Genomic DNA, 20785 nt, shown 5'->3' on the forward strand with positions numbered 1-20785 from the left:
ACTGTCATAAAGGATGGACCAAGAATGTAGTCTTGGTTCTACATTCTTGGTACTGGTCAAAGAGGTATGAAAAACACTGGGAGAGTTCAACATCTGGAAAGATTTGGAAATAGAGTTTCAAGAAAAGGAATGGACAACAGCGTCCAGTGCAACAGAATGTCTAGTAAGGAAGGAAAGGCAAGCAGGTGGTTACTGGTGATTATCAGCGACAGCATGTCAGGAAACTCACAAAGGAAAAGCCTAATTACCTGAGCTGAACATGACTAAAAGGTAAGAAAGTGAAGACTGAGAACACATCCCTCTTTGGAGAACTGTGCAGGAAAAAGGGAGGTAACATGTTAGGCAATACTAGAGAGGGACCTGTAGCCAAAGAAGGGGTTATCAGCATGTTTCTCTCTCTCTCTTTTTGTTTTTTTTTTTTAGACAGGGTCTCACTCTGTCATCCAGACTAGAGTGCACTGGCACAATCTTTGCTCACTGCAATCTCGACCTCCCGGGCTCAAGTGATCCTCCTACCTCAGCTTCCCAAATAGCTGAGACTACCAGTGCATACCACCGTGCCTGGCTAATATTTGTATTTTTTGTGGAGATTAGAGATGGGGTTTTGCCATGTTGCCCAAGCTAGTCTCGAACTCCTGGGCTCAAGCAGTCCACCCTCCTCGGCCTCCCAAAGTGCTGGGATTACAGATGTGAGCCACCCTGCCCAGCCTGGCAAGTTTCATAGACTAAAGGCAATGGTCTTAGTCTGGACCTAGACATCAGTAGTGTGTATACGTACGTTTACACATACACATACACACACAGTATGGCATAGTTTAATTAGCAATTTTCTATCTTAGTAGTGTGGCTTACAATTGATAGTGTCTTAAATTAGATGATATATGCTAGCTGTATGTTTATATGAATTTCACTAGCATAAAAATAACATCACTCTAGGGGAGAAAGAATTTTTTTTTAAGAATAGCACTATCTAAATGATGTTGATCATCTTTTTTGCCATGCTTAGCACGTATTCTGATCCCAGGACCATTTGACCATTAAGACAAACAAACAAACAAAAAAACCACCTTCTTTTTTAGAGTATTTTAGGTTCTCAGCAAAATTGAGCAGAAAGTACAGAGAGTTCCCATATAGCCCCTGTCCCCATATATGCACAACCTCCCTTACTCATATTGACATCCCATGCCACAATAATGTTTGCTACAATCGATAAACCTACACTGATACATCATTATCACCCAGTCAGCATCAGTTTCTTTTTTTAAAGCTTCCCTGATGATTCTAATGTACAAGTGAGTTAAGAAACCACTAGACTCAGAGGTAATGGTTTATCAAGATGGGAAGAGTGGAGATTCAAGAAAGAGGGAGCCAAGGAGCAAGAGCATGAAGGACTACAGAGTCCAACAGATATGAAGATGCAAGCCTCAGCCCTGCACAGTGGCTCACGCCATAATCCCAGCACTTTGGGAGGTCAAGGTGGAAGGACTGCTTAAGGCCAGTAGTTGGAGAGACTAGCCTAACCAAAATATTAATAACGAGACCCCCTCTCTACAAAAACTAAAGTTAGCCAGGTGTGGTGGCACATTTGAGGTTACAGGGAGCTACGATCCTGCCACTGAACTCCAGCCTGAGTGACAGAGAGACACTGTCCCATTAAAAAACAAACAAACAAACAAACATGCAAGCCTTGCACAGCTGGCGATGATACTGATACTTCTTTTTCCAGTGGCAATTAAGAAGCCAAAAGTTCTGAGAAATTTTAAGTTAACATTTTTCACAATTAATTTGGCCTTTTGATTTAAAAAAAAAAAGAGAGACTACTGCAGTTCATTCAACCTAAGATGCCACTGACTACAGGATGTGTCTTGATTATAGAATCAATAAAATACAGTATTTTTATAATTCATTAACATTCATTATGTCAACCCAATAGTGTCAACATCACACCCAATTTTAAGGTCCTAAAGACTCCTAAGTGATTAAAATTTAAATAGGAAATATGACAATTCAGCTACCTAAGAATACAATTTCTAGAGATAAACTATTAAACCTTGTCAGTCTCTAAGGTAACGCAACAAAGTTGTACATAAAACCACTGACAGCTGTAGGCTCTAACACTTTTGTTATGAAATCCCACCCCAGAATCATCACACACGGCCTAAGTGAGTATGTGAGGAGGACGTGAGCACTCTCAACAGGCTGTCCTGAATGCTCACAGCAAGGGGTGTATGTTCACTCAGGGAAATAAGAAGCCAGCATTAATATGGTGACACAATCACAGATAAGCTGCAGTCTGTATAAATGTCCACACTCAGATTTATGGAGTCTGTAAAATTCACCTGCATATTTGATCTTTGCTTTATTTAATATCTATATTTTGTTTCATTTATTTTGATTTTGCTCCAATTAATTTCTGAAAAACTAAGCATAAATTTGTATTCAAGCATAAGATTATGAATTACATACTATTTTGAGAAAGCAAGGGGGAAAATGTATTATCTCAAATTCTATAACTTATTCTGGTTTTATTCTTTTCTTTCACAGGGAAAAATATTTTTGCTTTTTTATTTTTCTTTTCATTTTGAAATACTCATTGAGGTTTTTTTTTTTTTTGCAAACATTCTCTGTTCATCCCAAATGGATTTTAATTACGCATCATTTCTCTCTGACTGAAACAGTAAACAATGCTTTTGCTTTTGAAGATAAAAGTTTATAATTTTTTTTTTTTTTTTTTTTGAGACAGGGTCTCACTCTGTTACCCAGGCTGGAGGGCAGTGGTGCAATTTCGGCTCACTGCAACCTCCACCTCCTGGGTTCAAGTAATTCTCCCACGTCAGGCTCCCAAGTAGCTGAGACTACAAGCATACGCCACCATGCCTAGCCAATTTTTGTATTTTTTGGTAAAGATGGGGTTTCACCACGTTGACCGGGCTGGTCTTGAACTCCTGACATCAAGTGATCCACCCGCCTCAGCCTCCCTATGTGCTGGGATTACAAGCATGAGCCACCACGCCCAGCCAAAAGTTTATAATTTTGATTTTAAATTATTTACAACAGTTTCATTTACAATAGCATATCAGGCAGGGCACAATGGCTCATACCTTTAACCCAATACTTGGAGGTTGAGGTGGGAGGGTGGCTTGAGCCCAGCCTGAGCAACATAGAGAAACCCTGTCTCTACAAAAAAATTTTTTAAACAGCCAGGCATGGTGGCATACACCTGTGGTCCCAGTTACTCAGAAGGCTGAGGTGGAAGGATCACCTGAGCTCAGGAGGCCAAGGCTGCAGGGAGCTGAGATCATGCCACTGTATTCTAGAGCCTGGGCAATGGAGCAAGATGATGTCTCAAAAAAAAAAAAGAAGAGAAAGATACCATGTTAAAAGAAATTTTGTACAAAAGAAATTCAGGTTTAGAAACCACTGTCAAACAATCAATTGACTCATCAGCTAACTATAAATGTAAAGAATCTTTTGATACAACTTGAAACATTTCAACACTCTCCAGCTCTCTCATCCAAACTGATGGCCTGAATATTTTTGATGGATTATCATCCTCCTGTGTATTATAACTTCACTTCGTTCACGTTCATGTATATTTTGATAATTTGACAATCATTGTATAAATGCATGAATGTTAACTATAGAGTGAAACTGACAGAATGACAAAAAATTGACAGGATGTTCATATCTTCACAAATCTAATTACTTACAAACTCAAAAGGTAAAGATGGCAGCCTGGCTATAGAGCTCTTGGTTCTTTTTCTCTAATTCTATAATTCGAATTCTGTTTTTCACATCCAAACAGGTGGGAGTAAAGCCACCATGTGGACAGATCCTGGGTTCCTGAGTTTCCATTTAATGGAGCACTGCCAAGAAGAAAAACCCAAATAAAGACACTGCAAATCAGACCAGCAAGTGTTCAAATTTTATTATGCAAAGAAACAGAAACTTTGAGATTTTTACAGGAATTATCCTATAATCTAGAACCTGACAAATACAGGTCCCACTTGTGATTTCTAAATAAACACACACACACACACACACACACACACACACACACACACACACACACACAGAGATACATAATAAAAAATATAAAGGTAAATACTAAAACATTATAGTGGTTCTCTCTCAAAAATAGGACTCAAAAATCAGGGAAGTAGATAGCAATGGTTTTGTTTTTCACTTTGTACTCTTCTGTGCTGCTTGGTTTTGGTTTGTATTTCTGTTTTGTTTTTTTTTTTACATTTTCTAACAAGCAGCTAATGAAAATTAGATAGCTGCTGAAAATGTCAAAGGCTATCTTAAATTGCCAGCTGTCCGCAGTACTATAGACTGTCTTATCACATTACTAAGTAAACAAAAGAAACAATTATCTCATAATGTCCATTTCAACCTTTATTATCTCACTTGAAATCTGTTCATTTTGTATATTTTTAAAATTTATTTTTGTATATTTTTATTCTGATTTTTACTTTTATTCATAGAAGGAAAACAACATATCACCTCATAATGGTAAACTCTTTAATAAGTAAGATATTTTACTAAAAATTTCAAGTACATTCTATTTTTCTGTCTATCTTGAGTGAATAGATAATAATTTATCATTGGCCGGGAGCAGTGGCTCATGCGTATAATCCCAGCACTTTAGGAGGCCGAGGTGGAAAGACTGCTTGAGCTCAGGAGTTCAAGACCCCTAGCCTGAGCAACACAAGGAGACCCTGTCTCTACAAAAAAAAAAAAAAAAAATGCTGGGCATGGTGGTACACACCCATACTTCTCAGCTACTCAGGAGGCTGAGGTGGGAAGACTGCTTGAGCCCACGAGGTCAGGGCTGCTGTGAGCTATTATCACGCCACCACACTCCAGCCTGGGCAACTGAGCAAGGCCCTGTCTCAAATAAAATAAAATAAAATAAAATAAATTTAAATGTTAAATATTAAAAAAATTAATAAACAGTATCAGACAGATACTAATACTGGTAATATTAGATATTAAGATGTAATACTGTATCAGACAGTATTACCATTTCCATCAAAATTTGCAGTAAATTTTAAAGAATTCACTTCTTCATTTGTTTCATGTTTTCTAAATTTCTCTTGATCATTTTTACATCTGGGTTTTTTTTTTCAGGAAGAAATGCTAGATTAGTACCAGAATGATTTCATTCTCTGTAATGTTACATTTCAACTATTTACAAAAATATAAATTACAAGATTTTTAAAAAACATTAAGCCTTTGAAGTTTGCTTGAATGTCTTCTAACTTGAAGATAAATTTTGATTGACATAGTCATTCACTTATTTTCAAGAATTTGGTGGATAAGCAAGATTCAAGCTTGATACTTCCTAGTTCTCATCTCCTATATATTAGATATACATGAATTTATTAATAGTGAAAAAATTATTGGTTGTTCCCCACTATTCATATCTGCTTGCCTCAGAACATAAACTCTTTTTAAAATTTTTAAAAAATAATTGCTATTATTTTAAAAATCACAACCAGTCACAAAGTATTGAACAAATGTTTAATTATAAAATAGTATATTTACACAGGCATACAATTTGTATTAAAATTTATATTAAGTTAACAGCATGATTATATTAAAAGTTGTATGCTCATGAAATTTACATTTAAAATTCCCATACAAGCATTACAAATCTGCTAAGACATTGACACGAACAACAAATCCTTCTACACGGGACGTAGAATGCTGGCCGGATAGCAACGTCAGCACTGGAATTTGTCAGCTGAGCCATAGCTAAGTGCTCATCACTCTTCTTTGCTCTTGTATTCTACCTGCATGTTGTTGTTTTATATTTCCCTGAGAACCACAATGTATGTTCCATAGTTTGTTTAGCTGATTTCACTGACTTTAGCAATTAGAAAGGAGAACCGTGGCATCCTCCCCCGACTTCTCTCAAATCCTAACTCTCATTTCTTTTTTTTTTTTTTTTTTGAGACGGAGTCTCCATCACCCAGGCTGGAGTGCAGTGGCGCGATCTCAGCTCACTGAAACCTCCACCTCCCAGGTTCAAGCGATTCTCCTGCCTCAGCCTCCTGAGTAGCTGGGACTACAGGCGCACGCCACCACACCCAGCTAATTTTTGTATTTTTAGTAGAGACGGGGTTTCACCATGTTGGCCAGGATGGTCTCTATCTCTTGACCTCATGATCCACTGGCCTTGGCCTCCCAAAGTGCTGGGATTACAGGCGTAAGCCGTTGCTCCCGGCCACTCTCCTTTGTTTCTAAATGATCATCCTGGATAAGAGGTCAGCCAGGTCACGAGTTTTATATTCTGAAGAAGGAAAGTGACAAGAAGCCCAAGAGGTCACACCGAATTGGCTCAGATTGCTCAGAGAGAGAAGACAAGAGCATCTGCTGAGATGAAGAGGAGGTGGAGGGAAAGTTTTGCAAGTTTGGAATAGACATGGGGTGGAAAGGATGAAAAAGGGAACAGACACAGACAAAATCACAGAAGTCAGTATTTCAGGCTTGATGAAACCACCATTAAAAACTTCTAACTTACTTTGCAATGTCTGGTTGCAGACAAAACCCAAATTATGTCATTACACGGCTTAAAATCCTTCAGTGGTTTTAAGGACCGATTGCTCTTAGGACCACGTTTACTCCTAAATGTAGCAGATTTTTTAGCCCTCTGATTTCTTCCTACCAGTCCCATCATATTCTACATGGTAACCATCTGGTTGATGAGCAGTTTTCCAAAGAGCTACTTAACCTTCAGGACATTTCATATGCTGTGCCCTCCACCCAGAGCACTCTTCTTGCCCACAGCAGGAATTTTTAGTTAAATTGGATCTTAAATTGAGATGGACAAGACAGAGTCAAGAAATCACAACAAGATACTAGAAAATATATTTCATAAGTGTATAGCTTAAAATAACATTCTGCGGCATGACTTAGAAATTAAGATGCAGAGCTACCAGCTGGACTGTTTGGTGACCAACCTTCCCTCAATCCAACTCACCAGGAATATAAATCCTGGCATTTTCTGTTCAGTAAGAGTCTTCAATGCACTACAATATCAACTAAAGGCTGGGAAATAAAATACCTGATTTCAGGGCTCCGTTAACAAAAAGGGGAATCATTTAACGTATTTAAACTATTTTCACCATTCAAACAAAATTACTGTTTAACCCAAATGCTTAAAACAAATTTTTAAAGAGAACAATCTAGGAAGAAAGTAATTTACCCAGACCTTTCTCAAGTGCATAGGGTAATTTTTCACACAGTGTCTTCCGTAAATTGTTAAAATGTGGGTGGGGTGAGGGGTAGAGGTTTAGCTTCAGGAGTCAGTGACTGAATGGTATTTAAAGCTTTGGTCCTGAGGAAGGTGACCTAAAGAGCCAGTGTGGTCAGAATAGAGAGGAGAGCCAAGAAGAAAGGCTGGTGTTGAGATCAGGAGAAAAAAATCAGCAAAGACAACTCTTTGAAATATCCAGAATGGCTAAGCTACTTGAAAGGAAACAAACTGACCAGTCAGTCCAACGATTCCATCTGCCTGTTATACTTCTACTAGGAATTAATAAACTATTATTCTAATAAATCTGCTTTATTAATCACTGTATACATATTTCAAAGGAAAACACCTAGCATATTATATACCCTCAAATATTAATTGGTACTCAGAGGAATATTGACTCCCTTTTAAGTGCTAATCTGGTATCAACTGTATCCAGGTATCTTCAAAAGATCAGTATGTCTTCCAATCCCTCCACTCTAGCTACTCCTTGGCAAGACTCCAGCTGAATTTCCCAGTTATAGGTGGAACCAGTTATGCCTGGTGGCTTTTGTAGCAAGAGTCCTGGGCCACTACTAACAGTTCACTTCCTCTACCCTTCATTCCATTCCAACATTGTTGAAATTTGGCCACATTTAGTCTTCCAAGATACCTTAGGACCAGATACCCTACAATAATACCTATGAGCTCACACACTTTAAGATACTCAGTGGCCGCTCACAGCCACACACCCCTTTACAGGTGCTCCACGTGGCAGCCATCTATACTGAATAGCGTAAAACTATTAATAGATGTGGGTGGAAAAGGTTTTGGTTTGGAGACAGATTTTCTATGAAGACGCAATTCAGCATCCTAGTTAAGAACGCAGCTGTCAAGTCAGAAGAACTAGGGATGCAAACCCAACTCTCCTACTGATTAGATGTATGAAATGGTGAAATCTCAACTCACTGAACCTGAAGTTCCTCATCAATGAGAATAGGATAATAAAAATCTATTTTTCTTTCTTTCTTTTTTTTTTTTTGGAGACAGGGTCTCACTCTTATCGCCTAGGATAGAGTGCTGTGGTGTGATCTTGGCTCACTGCAGTCTCAATCTCCTGGGCTCATGCAATCCTCCCACCTCAGCTTCTCAAATAGCTGGGACTACAGGTAGCACCTGTAGCACCTGTTAAAGTTGTGTTGTTAAAATTGTGATTGCTACTGTTTGTGTGAGGATTTAGGAGCCTATGGGCAAATTTATCTGTATACCAATCCTCCCTCCTCCACACCAACATAATACAAAGGCTGGTGGCCCCAGAGAACAGCACTTCTTGGGTTTACAATATACCAGGACCTGTAGTCCCAGCTAATTTTTTTAATTTTTTGGTAGAGACGTGGTTTTTCCATGTTGTCCAGGCTGGTCTCAAACTCTTGCACTCAAGTGATCCATCCACCTCAGGCTTCCAAAGGGCTAGGATTACAGGTGTGAGCCACCATGCCAGGCCGAAAATCTATTTCATTCGGTTGCCGTGAAAATTAACTTTTCTATGTTTGCAAATCATTCAGTATATAGTAAATGTTTCAGAACTGGTTGTTAGAATTGTGACTACTATTGTTTGTGTGAAGATTCAGGATCCTATGGGCAGGTGGACCCAGAGAATAGTACTTCTTGGGTTTACAACATACCAGGGTGAGGACAGGAGAGGTGCCAAGAGGGAAGGGGAGCTGATGGCGCCAGAAGATTTGGAAGCCCAGGATCTAAAAGCAGACGTCCTTTTGTTGTTCTGTGCCACCCACTATTGATTCAGAGAAAGAAACATGGGTCTCCTGCCTGACACTGTACCACATGAGGACGTTCTTCCAATGGCTGGAAGAAAGGAAGGGGCAAAAGGTTACCTGGAGTTTAGTTACCCTCAGTAATTAATTACTAAGGGGTCCCCATGCCACTTTTGAGTCCATACTTGCTAGTTCTCTATCAGTTCAGCCAGCCATAATGCTTCTGATGCTGATGTAAAAGGAAAATCTGTTCACTGATGAAAACTGAGTGTAGAGTTCAAATCCTGGCTCCAACACCTCTTAGCTGCATAACCTTGGATAGCTTACCTGGTCACTCCGGTCCTTTTTTCCTGCATTTGTAAAACCAGGTATGCACATATAACTCATATAGTTGCTATTAAGAATAAATATGACATTCAAAAGCACCAGTCTAATAATGTGTGTTCCCTTTACCTTTACTCAATAATTATCGGCCCCTCTTCCTGGACCACTTCAGACATTTTCTTAGGATACCACTTAGGCAAACGGTGACAGCCTGTGATTGACCCTCTGAGAGGTTCCAGGAATAGCAGCAAGGACTGCTACCACCACCCATGGGCCATATTCCATGTTTAGCTGTCTGGTGGATGCCAACCCCCCTCAAATTCAGAATCAAAACTGAATTTTCCTTCTTCCCTCCAAAACCAGATATTCTTTCCTCTTTGTGTTCCTCCTGGTCTCTTATTAACACTACCACCACTTTCTCCAGTTGCCCAGGCTTAAAACCAATTACAAACATTTTATTTCTTTGACCCACCCACTCACTGAGCCAGAGAAACATGAATCCTTCCCTCAGTTTCCTTTGGCTCCATTTCTTCTTTCCATTCCTCCCACCACTGGACCTTAGGTCTAGACCACACCTGCTCCTCAATTCCAAATGGAGCCCTACAGAAACTATCTCGATTTCATCAAGTTCAAGAGTCCAGGAACTTGATGGTACCGCTGATGCTAAAAAAAAAAAAAAACAGAAAAGAAAAGAAAAAAATTGTTGGCACATTTGAGGGAAGCTGGGCAAGGAGGGGGAGGATATTCAAAACACCCCAAGGAAGAATAACAGGGTCACTTTTTCTTTAAAGGATGAAGTTTATATTGTAGCAAGTCAGAATAAGAAGAAGATACAGAGGACTAGAAGTCACGGTTGAAATTCAGATCAGAAATGTCATCCAAATATAGAAAATAACAAATAATAAAAACCATTTTTCCATATACAGTATTCTGTAGAGTCAGTGACATGGCAGACACGGTGATTCTAATCCACGGCCACAGCTTAGGAGCAGTAGTTATTTCATTTATCAATTAATTTTCTTTAGTGCCTGGCATATCTATTTCAAAACCATTAAGTAATTGTAGCTGTTAACTGAATGCTTACTATGTGCCGGGTACTGTGCTGCATTATCTACATATTCTCTGCCTTGGTCCTTACCCAACCCTATGAGGGGCACTGCAATCATTCAAAGATCAGAACTGATAGTATAGAGATGGGGGAGAGACATGTCCCTGGGCTCACCTTTACAAGAGGAAAATGGTTTGCCCCAATAAGAAAACATTCATATAGTACCTAAAGTTTCCAATGTCTTAATGCTCATCATCTCATTTGAGTCACACAATAATTCTCTGAACTAGGCATGACATTAATTATTATCTCTGACTTACAATTAAGAAAAGCTCCAAGTCATGCAGGCCACTGTCTTCTTGCCTTCAAACATCTCTGCATGTTTCTTTCTAGAGCTGGTGGAAAAAGGACCATATCTGTGCCCACTTGTGAAGGGAGTAAAGGAGTATCCTTGGCATTACTAATGTCTCCTTTCTGATCCGAGAGAGAGTGTGTCATGAAGACACTCAGGCAGCTCCAAGTGGAGGTCCACACAGTAGGAACTGAGGCCTCCTGCCAGCAACTAGGTGCAGGAGCCGTGTTGAAAGTGGATCCGTTAGTCCATTCAGCCTCCAAATGACGACAGCCCCAACTGTCAACTTGACCACAGTCTCACGAGAGGCCCTGAGCCACACCATCCAGATGAGCTGCTCCAAGACTCCTGACTTGTTCCTGACATAATAAATATTTGTTGCCTTAAGCCCCTTAATGATGAGGTAATTTGTTACACAGCGATAGATAACTAATGCCAATCCAAACCCTGAGATATATGAAGCCTGAGGGTTTCAACATGAAGAAGCTGACAAGAACTGGGATCCCAAGAGAGTTCATGAATTCCCTTCCAGGAGACGTACGCAAGTGCAGATGCTGAACTGCCAGGCAGAGGTATTACAGAAGGGATGCACACACAGGATGGAAACTTGCATAGATATCCCTTCAGGTTACTTCCAACCACAAGACCCAGTGAATTTAATTGTAAACGTCTCCCTAGTCTAGATGTACACACGGTTGTTGCCAGAATTGAATAGCTAACAAGCTGACTAAAATCTATCCAAAGCCTCCTTATTTAGAACATTTGAAATAATTTATTATTTTTGATAGAGAAAAGTGGTCACACAGGGAGTTTCATTTTCACCTCCCACTTCCCAAGACAACTGGCTCACTTCCCCAGCCAACCTCAACAAAGTTTTATCTCGGTGAACTACCTGAGTCTTCTCACCCTACCTGCCCCAGCCTACCTGCCCCCCAGGAGAGTTAGAGCTCTGACAAAGAGGAAGCCTGAATATACCCTTACTCTTAAGGCACTGGTTTTCCAACATTTCTGATAATTACTACTTAACAAGCACACTGTAAACTAGTTCAACCATTGTGGAAATCAGTGTGGCGATTCCTCAGGGATCTAGAACTGGAAATACCATTTGACCCAGCCATCCCATTACTGGGTATATACCCAAAGGACTATAAATCATGCTGCTATAAAGACACATGCACACGTATGTTTATTGCGGCATTATTCACAATAGTAAAGACTTGGAACCAACCCAAATGTCCAACAATGATAGACTGGATTAAGAAAATGTGGCACATATACACCATGGAATACTATGCAGCCATAAAAAATGATGAGTTCATGTCCTTTGTAGGGACATGGATGAAATTGGAAATCATCATTCTCAGTAAACTATCACAAGAACAAAAAACCAAACACCGCATATTCTCACTCATAGGTGGGAAGTGAACAATGAGATCACATGGACACAGGAAGGGGAATATCACACTCTGGGGACTGTTGTGGGGTGGGGGGAGGGGGGAGGGATAGCATTGGGAGATATACCTAATGCTAGATGACGAGTTAGTGGGTGCAGCGCACCAGCATGGCACATGTATACATATGTAACTAACCTGCACAATGTGCACATGTACCCTAAAACTTAAAGTATAATAAAAAATAAATTAATTAATTAAAAAAAAAAATTTCAGTCTTTGAGGTTAAAAAAAAAACAAGCACACTCACACACACATTTAAACAAAAGTTGACATTTAAGAAAACAATGGCCGGGCGCGGTGGCTCACGCCTGTAATCCCAGCACTTTGGGAAGCCGAGACGGGTGGATCATAAGGTCAGGAAATCGAGACCATCCTGGCTAACACGGTGAAACCCCATCTCTACTAAAAATACAAAAAATTAGCCGGGCGTGGTGGTGGGCACCTGTAGTCCCAGCTACTCAGGAGGCTGAGGCAGGAGAATGGCAGGAACCCGGGAAGCAGAGCTTGCAGTGAGCTGAGATCACGCCACTGCACTCCAGCCTGGGCGACAGAGCGAGACTCTGTCTCAAAAAAAAAAAAAAAAAAAAAAAAAAAAGAAAACAGTGCTCACCATTAGAACATGAAGGACATTTTGGTCTCATACTGTTCTACTACTTTGTTCTTCTTAAAAAAACACTTGGTCAAAATCCACAACCCAGTAAAAGGTCCCAAGAAACAGTATGGAGAATATATCCGAAGACATACTTCTGAACACTCAACAGCTCCTAAAATCCTCCTAGGTAGAGACAAAGGCAAAAAACTGAAATAATAAATCCCCCTTCACCCCAATCATGTGTAAATACTTAGTTCCACTTCACCCACATCCATAAAATACACAATAAATGCTGGGGCTTTCATCTAATCAAGAACAACCTCAGGCAGTTTCTATTCAAATATAAATAATTATCCAGGCCCCAAAATTCTTCTCCTAGTTCCACAGGTAATGACTGGAAAATCTACAAACAACTTCAGCTAAAACTCCCTTATCACTCTTAACAAGTATGGCTCAAAGACAAAATTTCAATCTTTTCCAATTTTTTTTAAAGTAGGCAGGCAGCAAAATAAAACATCAGCAAAAGCTAAATGTGCTTGGATAAAGCACAATTAAATACATGTTTGTATTTTTCCAAAATGGACCACAGGTTGCTATTAAAAAGAGTAATAAAATCAATCTATAGAAACTAAATAGATAAGTGTTTGCCTGCGGGCACGGGATGTGGAGTGGCTGTAAATAGACACAGGGTGATGAAAATATTCTAAAATTAGATTGTGGTGATCACTGCACAACTCTGTAAGTTTACTAGAAATCACTGAATTGTACATTTAAAACAAGTGAATTTTAAGGTAAACTATATGGTGATTATTTATGGCAAATTATATATCAATAAAGCTTTTTTCTTAAAAAATGGAAACTATATGTTAGATTTTTTTTTTAATATCCAAGATACGTGTCAGTTAAAACAAGCAAAGTACAGAATAATGTGTATGACATGTTCCCATTTGAACTTTTAAAGTGATTGTATACATTACCTGCCTAGACATTTCTGGAAGGACACCCAGAGGCTGATCATAACAGCCGCTCTGGGAGAAATGGGTCTAGGCTAAGAGAGTTTGAGTTTTAATTGCATACTGTTTGGATTCATTTGCTTTGAACATGTATTATTTTTCATAAGTATGAAAATAAGATGGGTGGAAGCCCTCAGGAGTAGGACTCTTACAGCAGTACCAAGTTTATAACGGTGCTAGTTCATATTGTTCTTTGAGAAGGGGATAGTTTGGTCCTTCAGAATTTAAATATTTCAGCAAGGTAGGGTGGCCTGTAATTCCAGCACTTTGGGAGGCCAAGGCGGGAGGATCACTTGAGCCCACGAGTTCAATGCTGCAGTGAGTCATGATTGTGCTACTGCACTCCAGCCTGAGCGACAGAATGAGACCCCGTCTCTTTTCTTTTTTTTTTCTTTTTTTTGAGACAGAGTTTCACTCTTGTTGCCCAGGCTGGAGTGCAATGGCACGATCTTGGCTCACTGCAACCTCGCCTCCCAGGTTCAAGCAATTCTCCTGCCTCAGCCTCCCAAGTTGCTGGGATTACAGACATGCGCCACCACGCCCGGCTAATTTTGTATTTTTTGTAGAGATGGGGTTTCTCCATGTTGGTCAGGCTGGTGGTGAACTCCCGACCTCAGGTGATCCGCTCGCCTCAGCCTCCCAAAGTGCTGAGATAACAGGCATGAGCCACCGCGCCTGACCATGAGACCCTGTCTCTAATTATTTCTCAGTAGAAGTCTGCGTTAAAAGGTACCTGTGTTTGACAATAAGAGGCCAAGTGACAGAATCTTCCAACTGAAATCTGATTTCATAAAATCCAAGAGGAAGAGAATTTGAATGCCCTCTTAGGAGGAAAATGGGGTTCATATCATTTAGTCGTCTCCTTCGGCAGGTGCTGGAACACAACTCAAAGTGGCTTATGGTTTGCAATTATAAATCTGGGAAGAGATTAGATACATTATATCTGAGTACAGGACTATATGCATCTAGGGAGTTGAAAACATAGTCCTCATAGAGCTTTATCAAAAAGAAAAAGAATATGCAAATAAAAAACTAAAACTGAATCCAAAAAGGTAGCTGAACACCACACTCTCAAATGTTGTAACCAGACTTTTGACAACTGCTCAGATCCAGGCCTGGGTTCTACCATCTTGCCTCAGCTCATTTTTGGCTTTGGTTCCTAATTGAGCTCTTCACCTCGCTATTTAAGGACACTGGCTCTCTGAACATTGAGAACCTGTGGCTCACCGCATCCTCCCCTCCCCACCTTAGGCTCATCCTGTCATCAGACGGCTTCCTGATTTACAAGGCCAAGGTAACCAAAATTTGGACCATAAAATATTAGTATTCTCAACTTTCAAACACGAGCCAACCAGATGACCTGTTTCCAGGATCATGGCAGCCCCTCCGACCCAGAGCCTCTCCTGCTAGTGGGGTCTTCTTCCTCCAGTGCCTCCACTGACAAAGGAGCCACCGTCTCAGCCACCCCATGAGTCTGCCTCCCGTGAGATTTCTACAACTGACACTGCAGCCCCCACTTCCACTCTCATCTATTTGTGCCACTTGGATTATTTCAACTATATTATTCAACACTCAGCCACCTGTATTTACTGAATGGCTGCTCTGCCTAAGACACTGGCAGGGAGGGGAGAAAATAAGGGTATTTTTACAGTAACAATTAGGACAGTGTTTTGTTTCTAATAGCAGCTTGAGAAATAATTCGCATACTATAAAATCCACTATTTTTTTATAAAGAGTATGGTTCACTGGTTTTTAGTATATTCACAGAGTTATGCAAACATCACCGCAATCTAATTTTCATACCCCAAAAAGAAACCCACATCCATCAGCAGCCTAGGCTAGTATTTTTATGAAAAAAAAAATTTTTTCAGAGTTTCAGACTTGCAAACTTTTAAAACATTTAAAATTATAAACTGTCCAGGTTATCCAAAGACTGTACAGTATATGGTCCAGATTAATACAGTTAATAATTACCCACTCTGGGGCATATGCAACTTCAAGGGCAGAGGTAAAGATTTGCCTTGGGGAAAAATTCAGCACAACCATGAAAATAACAAGTAGCAATAAACGGGGGGTGGGGGTGAGGGCGGGGAAGGGGTTGCATTTGGATAGCGCCTCCCAATGCACTTGAACACTATAGCTAACAATACTGCATTATACACTTAAAAATTTGTTAAGAGGTTAGATCTCATGTTAAGTGTATTATCAAAATCAAATAAAATACAACGGCGTTTTTCAATCCTCCTAACCATCTTGACAGGAATACAAGACATTTACAAATGGGGAGCCTGATGTTCGGGGGATGGATGCCTGACTCCCAGTCACCCAGCTAGGGGACCCCACCCGGCTCTTCTGATTATCTGGCAGAAGTGAGCAAAACAGCTCAATCCAGCAGGCTCCATGTTAGCAGTAAGCAACTCTAATTTCATATCTGACTGAAAAAAGAAAAGAAGCCTATTTATGCTCTCAACATAATAAAGCAGCCTTTGTTTTATGCTAAGGCCCTGGTGATTTTTTCAGCACCAGTCCAGCTGTGACACACAGACGCTGGTTCGATGCCTGCATAAATGCTTTCTCTTTGTTTAGTGGTGAGAACGTGAGACCTCACTAAGGCCCAAGTCCTGGGTTCTCCTGATGTCAACCCCACAAGTGAGTAGTGGAGCCTCACTGGCAAGGAGACCTACCTGTGCCTTTCCCAAATGCCTGGGAAGGTAGGTTAGAGTTAGAATCTTTTAATTAAAATGAGGTAAAATTCTAATTACTCCACAGTTGTCTCCAGAATAACATCATTTCCAACTCATCAAGTCTTATTAGAACCGGAACCACTGGGAACACCAGCTCCACCTTGTTAACTAAAGAAAACAGCTCGCTTTTTCCAGGAACATTAACTCTTTTTTCAGACATAAAGTAGTATTTAATGGTTTTGCTTATTAGTCTCCAAGCCATTAATGACCTGAAAGAGATTAAACAACTTTTGAAAAGTAATCCATTGTAAGTAACAACGGTTAAGGCTTCCTTGTAGCTACGAAAAACACCCAGAGTGCAGGACACTCACTTAAAATTAACACTGACTTGGATGCACACCACACACAAACAAATACAACTCCCACATGTAATCTATTTTTATATGAATTGGTTGAAGGTGGTAACAAATTCTAAACAATATGATGTACGTAAAAGGGTTAGCTGCACCGCACTCTAGGAAACTATTGCACCAGCTTCTACTCCTGCACCACTTAGCAACAGGAAAACGATGGGGAAACACTACCAAACTAACGAGTGGGTCACCTCAGATTTGATTTAACCCTAAACTCAACAATCTCAGGAAGTTCTGTCATACCGGCAGGAAGAACAGACCAAGAGGAGCATTTTCAGGGGCAATACAACTCGTGTGTGTGTGTGTGTGTGTGTGTGTGTGTGTGTAGAAAGAGTATCAATCATGACATTATGAGGCATGGATGAACCACACCACCCAGTGTTAGCAACACGTGGATCATCTGTGGCTCTGTGCATGTGTCACTTTCCACAGTTACATACAAAATGTAACTCCACTACTAGACTAAGCTGTTTGAAGGTTAATTCCACATCACATTCATACTCCATGCAACTCACGACACATCAGCCTCACCTCCCAGACATCACTCCTAATCCCCTAAATTCCAGCTACAGACGCCCTGTACCTTTCCTTACTCATTACCCAGTGGGTCATCTCTATGACCCCCAATATCACTGGCATTCACACCTCTGGGTAGGCCCCTTCCACGTGGCACCAGGGTTGGTCTGTGTGACCAACAGAATAATACAGCTCTTGGGTTCTCTTTCTCTTGCATCATTTGCTCTGAGGGAAGCCACGTTGTGAACAGCCTTATGGAGAGGTCCCTGGGGTGAGGAACTGGCACCTGCTGTCAATGACCACCCAAGTAAGCTTGGAAGCAGATCCTCCAGCCCTGAGATGACTGATGCCCCAGCCAACAACTCTACTGCGACCTCATGGAAGACCCAGAGCCAGAACCACTTTCTTGGCCAGCCCCAGATTTCTGACCTGCAGAAACTGTGAGATATAAATGTGGCTGGGCGCGGGGGCTCACGCCTGTAATGCCAGCACTTTGGGAGGCTGAGGTGGGCAGAACACAAGGTCAGGAGATCGAGACCATCCTGGCCAACATGGTGAAATCCCGTCTCTACTAAAAATACAAAAATTAGCTGGGCATGGTGGTGCGGGCCTGTTGTCCCAGCTACTTGGGAAGCTGAGGCAGGAGAATCACTTGAACCCAGGAGGCAGAGGTTGCAGTGAGCTGAGATCGCACCACTGCACTCCAGCCTGGGCGACAGAGCCAGACTCTGGCTCAAAAAAACAATAAAAATAAAAATAAAAAAATATTTTATTAAGCTGCTAAGTTTTGGGATAATATGTAGCAATAGATACTAAGATAATAGCCACACCATCTTCATCTGGAATGTTCTTCCCTAGGTCTATCAAAATTCTGAAAAGTTGAGATCCAAGGAAAGTGGCTTGTCTTTTATGAAAATGCTTTGGAATCTCACTCACCAGCATCACTTCTTTCTCTTAAATGGCATGGGTCAGTCTCTAACAGTGACGTTATTCTGTCATGTGTTGCAATTAAGGCTCATATGCCTGCATTCCATACTAACCATGAGCTCCCAAAGGCACAAATCGGGTCTGTATCTTCTCATGGAGAGCAGTTAGCCTAGTCATATCAGAGATTCTCATCTACCCCGTACCTGTGTACAGGAAAAACTGGGAAGTGATCCTGTTGGACATTAAATTAAGGTTGGGCTGGTCCACAGTAATAAAGGCTTAACTGTGAAGACGCTGTCTCTAGTCAAGGACCACAACTGGAAAATAAAGCAGGTCAGCAAAAAGGGGAAGACAAAAATTACAATCAGGCTGGGTACAGTGGCTCATGCCTATAATCCCTTTGGATTACTTTGGGAGGCCAAGAGTTCGAGACCAGCCTGAAGTACAAAAATGAGCCAGGTGTTGTGCCGCACAACTGTAGTCCCAGCTACTCAGGAGGCTGAGGCACAAGAATTGCTTGAACCCAGGAGGTGGAGGTTGAAGTGAGTGGAGATCATGTCACTGTACTCCACCCTGGGCAACGGAGTGAGGCTCTGTCACAAAAAGAAAGCACAATCAGACTGGTCCTGGGCAGAACTCAACCTTCCCTTCCTTACCCCTACACTCTCCCTTACAGTCCCATTAAAAGAGAATAGGGAAGGAGGAATAATCTATAGAAACTCTGACTTGACGACACTGCTGACTGTTGTGCCCAGAATCCAGCAAGAGCTAGGACCTCGCACACACATTCATGTATTTCCTCATGTGCATGTAAGGATGCACACACTCAGGGGAAGTGAGGTAAAAGTAGGTAGTTCACCAATCAACAGAGCAACACCCTCCAAATCAGCTGCCATGTCTTAAGTATCTGGTGACCATGGTCACAAAGCATGAACTTGGGAATTAAATAGATGGGGTCTGGATCTTGACTCCACTATGAACCATATGAACTAGGAGGAAAGTACCTACTTCATGGACTCTCACATCTCCCATCTGAAAATTACTACAAATTATTAAGGCAACTGCTGAAAAGATGAAATATGATCAATCTAGGAGTTTGTATATACCACCAAGAACAATGCTTGTCAAATCACTCACTTCTTTTCCCCTCTCTGGAGCCAGGCTTCGAGAAGTTGTATCCAGAATGAGAAGGTCTAAACCCTAACATAAGGACCCAAAGTCAAGTCATCTTTATTTGCCTTTACTGCTACAAATCCCGAATGAGGGTCCAGGGTTGAAAACATAACCCTCAACTTCACTGATAGACTTACGTATAACCCCAATTAAAAGTTTGGCTCCTTTGGGACATACATTTCTCTTTGACCAAAACTCATTAAAACTTGGCAGGAAGCCACCCACAGTGAGCTAATTATACACAGCACCACCCTATATATTAATAGCTTACTGTAGCTAACTCATATGCTAGCATCCACCACCTGTCTACACCTTCCTTACGTGCAGGAGCCATGGATTCATTTCTCTCTTTTTTTAAGCTTCATAGTTTAACAAAATGTCCATCATTTTAAAAGCGACCAACTGATCAATCAAAAATTATCATTTCTAGAACTTAGTATCACATAACCCTAACTTAGGGAACTAAGAAAGTAGAAACAATGAAAAACTTACTAATGATTTGATAGTTCCATTGCAACAGGAAGCTAAACATTTATTAAGATTTTAGTACATTCCACCATATTAAACATCAAAGCAGACAAATATGCAAAACACTTTACAGAAAAATGCCATTTATGTTCTTGTAATGTTCATGAAACATAAAAATTAACATTTTAAACAATCATAAAAGTCACATTAGTTTGTTTGTTGATGAATCTGTAAGGTGAAATCCATGTAAAATACTCTAAAATTTAAATTTTTTCCCCAAAGGATACCTCTTATACAACAAAAATTTTAATTTTATATGACAAATTCTGTAATCAGCTTCTAAAAATGTTGAAGGTATAATCAGAATCAACCAGAACTTTCACCTTCTTCAAATGAAAGTAATCTCTGTCAGGAAAAATTTGTGTAATATTTTGTAATATTACATATATCATAATATTTTGTTCTTTTTCCTACTATGAAGAATATCACAATATTCCAATTAGTACATAAATTACATCTTAATATTACCAACATACAAGGCTAGGATTTTGCAATTAGAAGCCAAATTCTGACAAAATAAAACAGTGCCTTAAAAAACACTGAACAATTAAAAATGTTACATATATTAGAATATGGGACAGCCCATAAAAAAACTAATCAATACTCATCAGAACCAACTAGGCACTTCCAGCTGAGGTTAAATGACCTTTTGCTCCTGCTCCTGTTCCTGAGGGCCTGTCTTTGTCACACAGCTGAGCCAGCACCTGCCTCTCCATAGCAACTGCAGCATGCCCTTCAGCGCTATG

General features: G+C 40.4%; 2 protein-coding genes across 12 annotated transcripts in view, besides 2 other annotated features; both read right to left on the reverse strand.

The window, feature by feature from the left end:
* The window catches only part of TPD52-MRPS28 (TPD52-MRPS28 readthrough), a 252848-nt gene that overhangs the window by 205047 nt on the left and 27016 nt on the right, over window positions 1-20785 (reverse strand). The window lies entirely within an intron of this gene.
* The window catches only part of TPD52 (tumor protein D52), a 140483-nt gene that overhangs the window by 92682 nt on the left and 27016 nt on the right, over window positions 1-20785 (reverse strand). The window lies entirely within an intron of this gene.
* Window positions 10781-10830: an enhancer, noted in NCBI's record as "active region_27559". NCBI's record gives its function as "activates an Ori minimal core promoter by ATAC-STARR-seq in GM12878 lymphoblastoid cells {active_cell/tissue: GM12878}" and the evidence as "EXISTENCE:reporter gene assay evidence [ECO:0000049][PMID:35858748]".
* Window positions 14816-14865: an enhancer, noted in NCBI's record as "active region_27560". NCBI's record gives its function as "activates an Ori minimal core promoter by ATAC-STARR-seq in GM12878 lymphoblastoid cells {active_cell/tissue: GM12878}" and the evidence as "EXISTENCE:reporter gene assay evidence [ECO:0000049][PMID:35858748]".

The sequence above is a fragment of the Homo sapiens genome, chromosome 8, assembly GCF_000001405.40.
Source record: "Homo sapiens chromosome 8, GRCh38.p14 Primary Assembly".
In the NCBI taxonomy this organism is placed as follows: domain Eukaryota; kingdom Metazoa; phylum Chordata; class Mammalia; order Primates; family Hominidae; genus Homo; species Homo sapiens.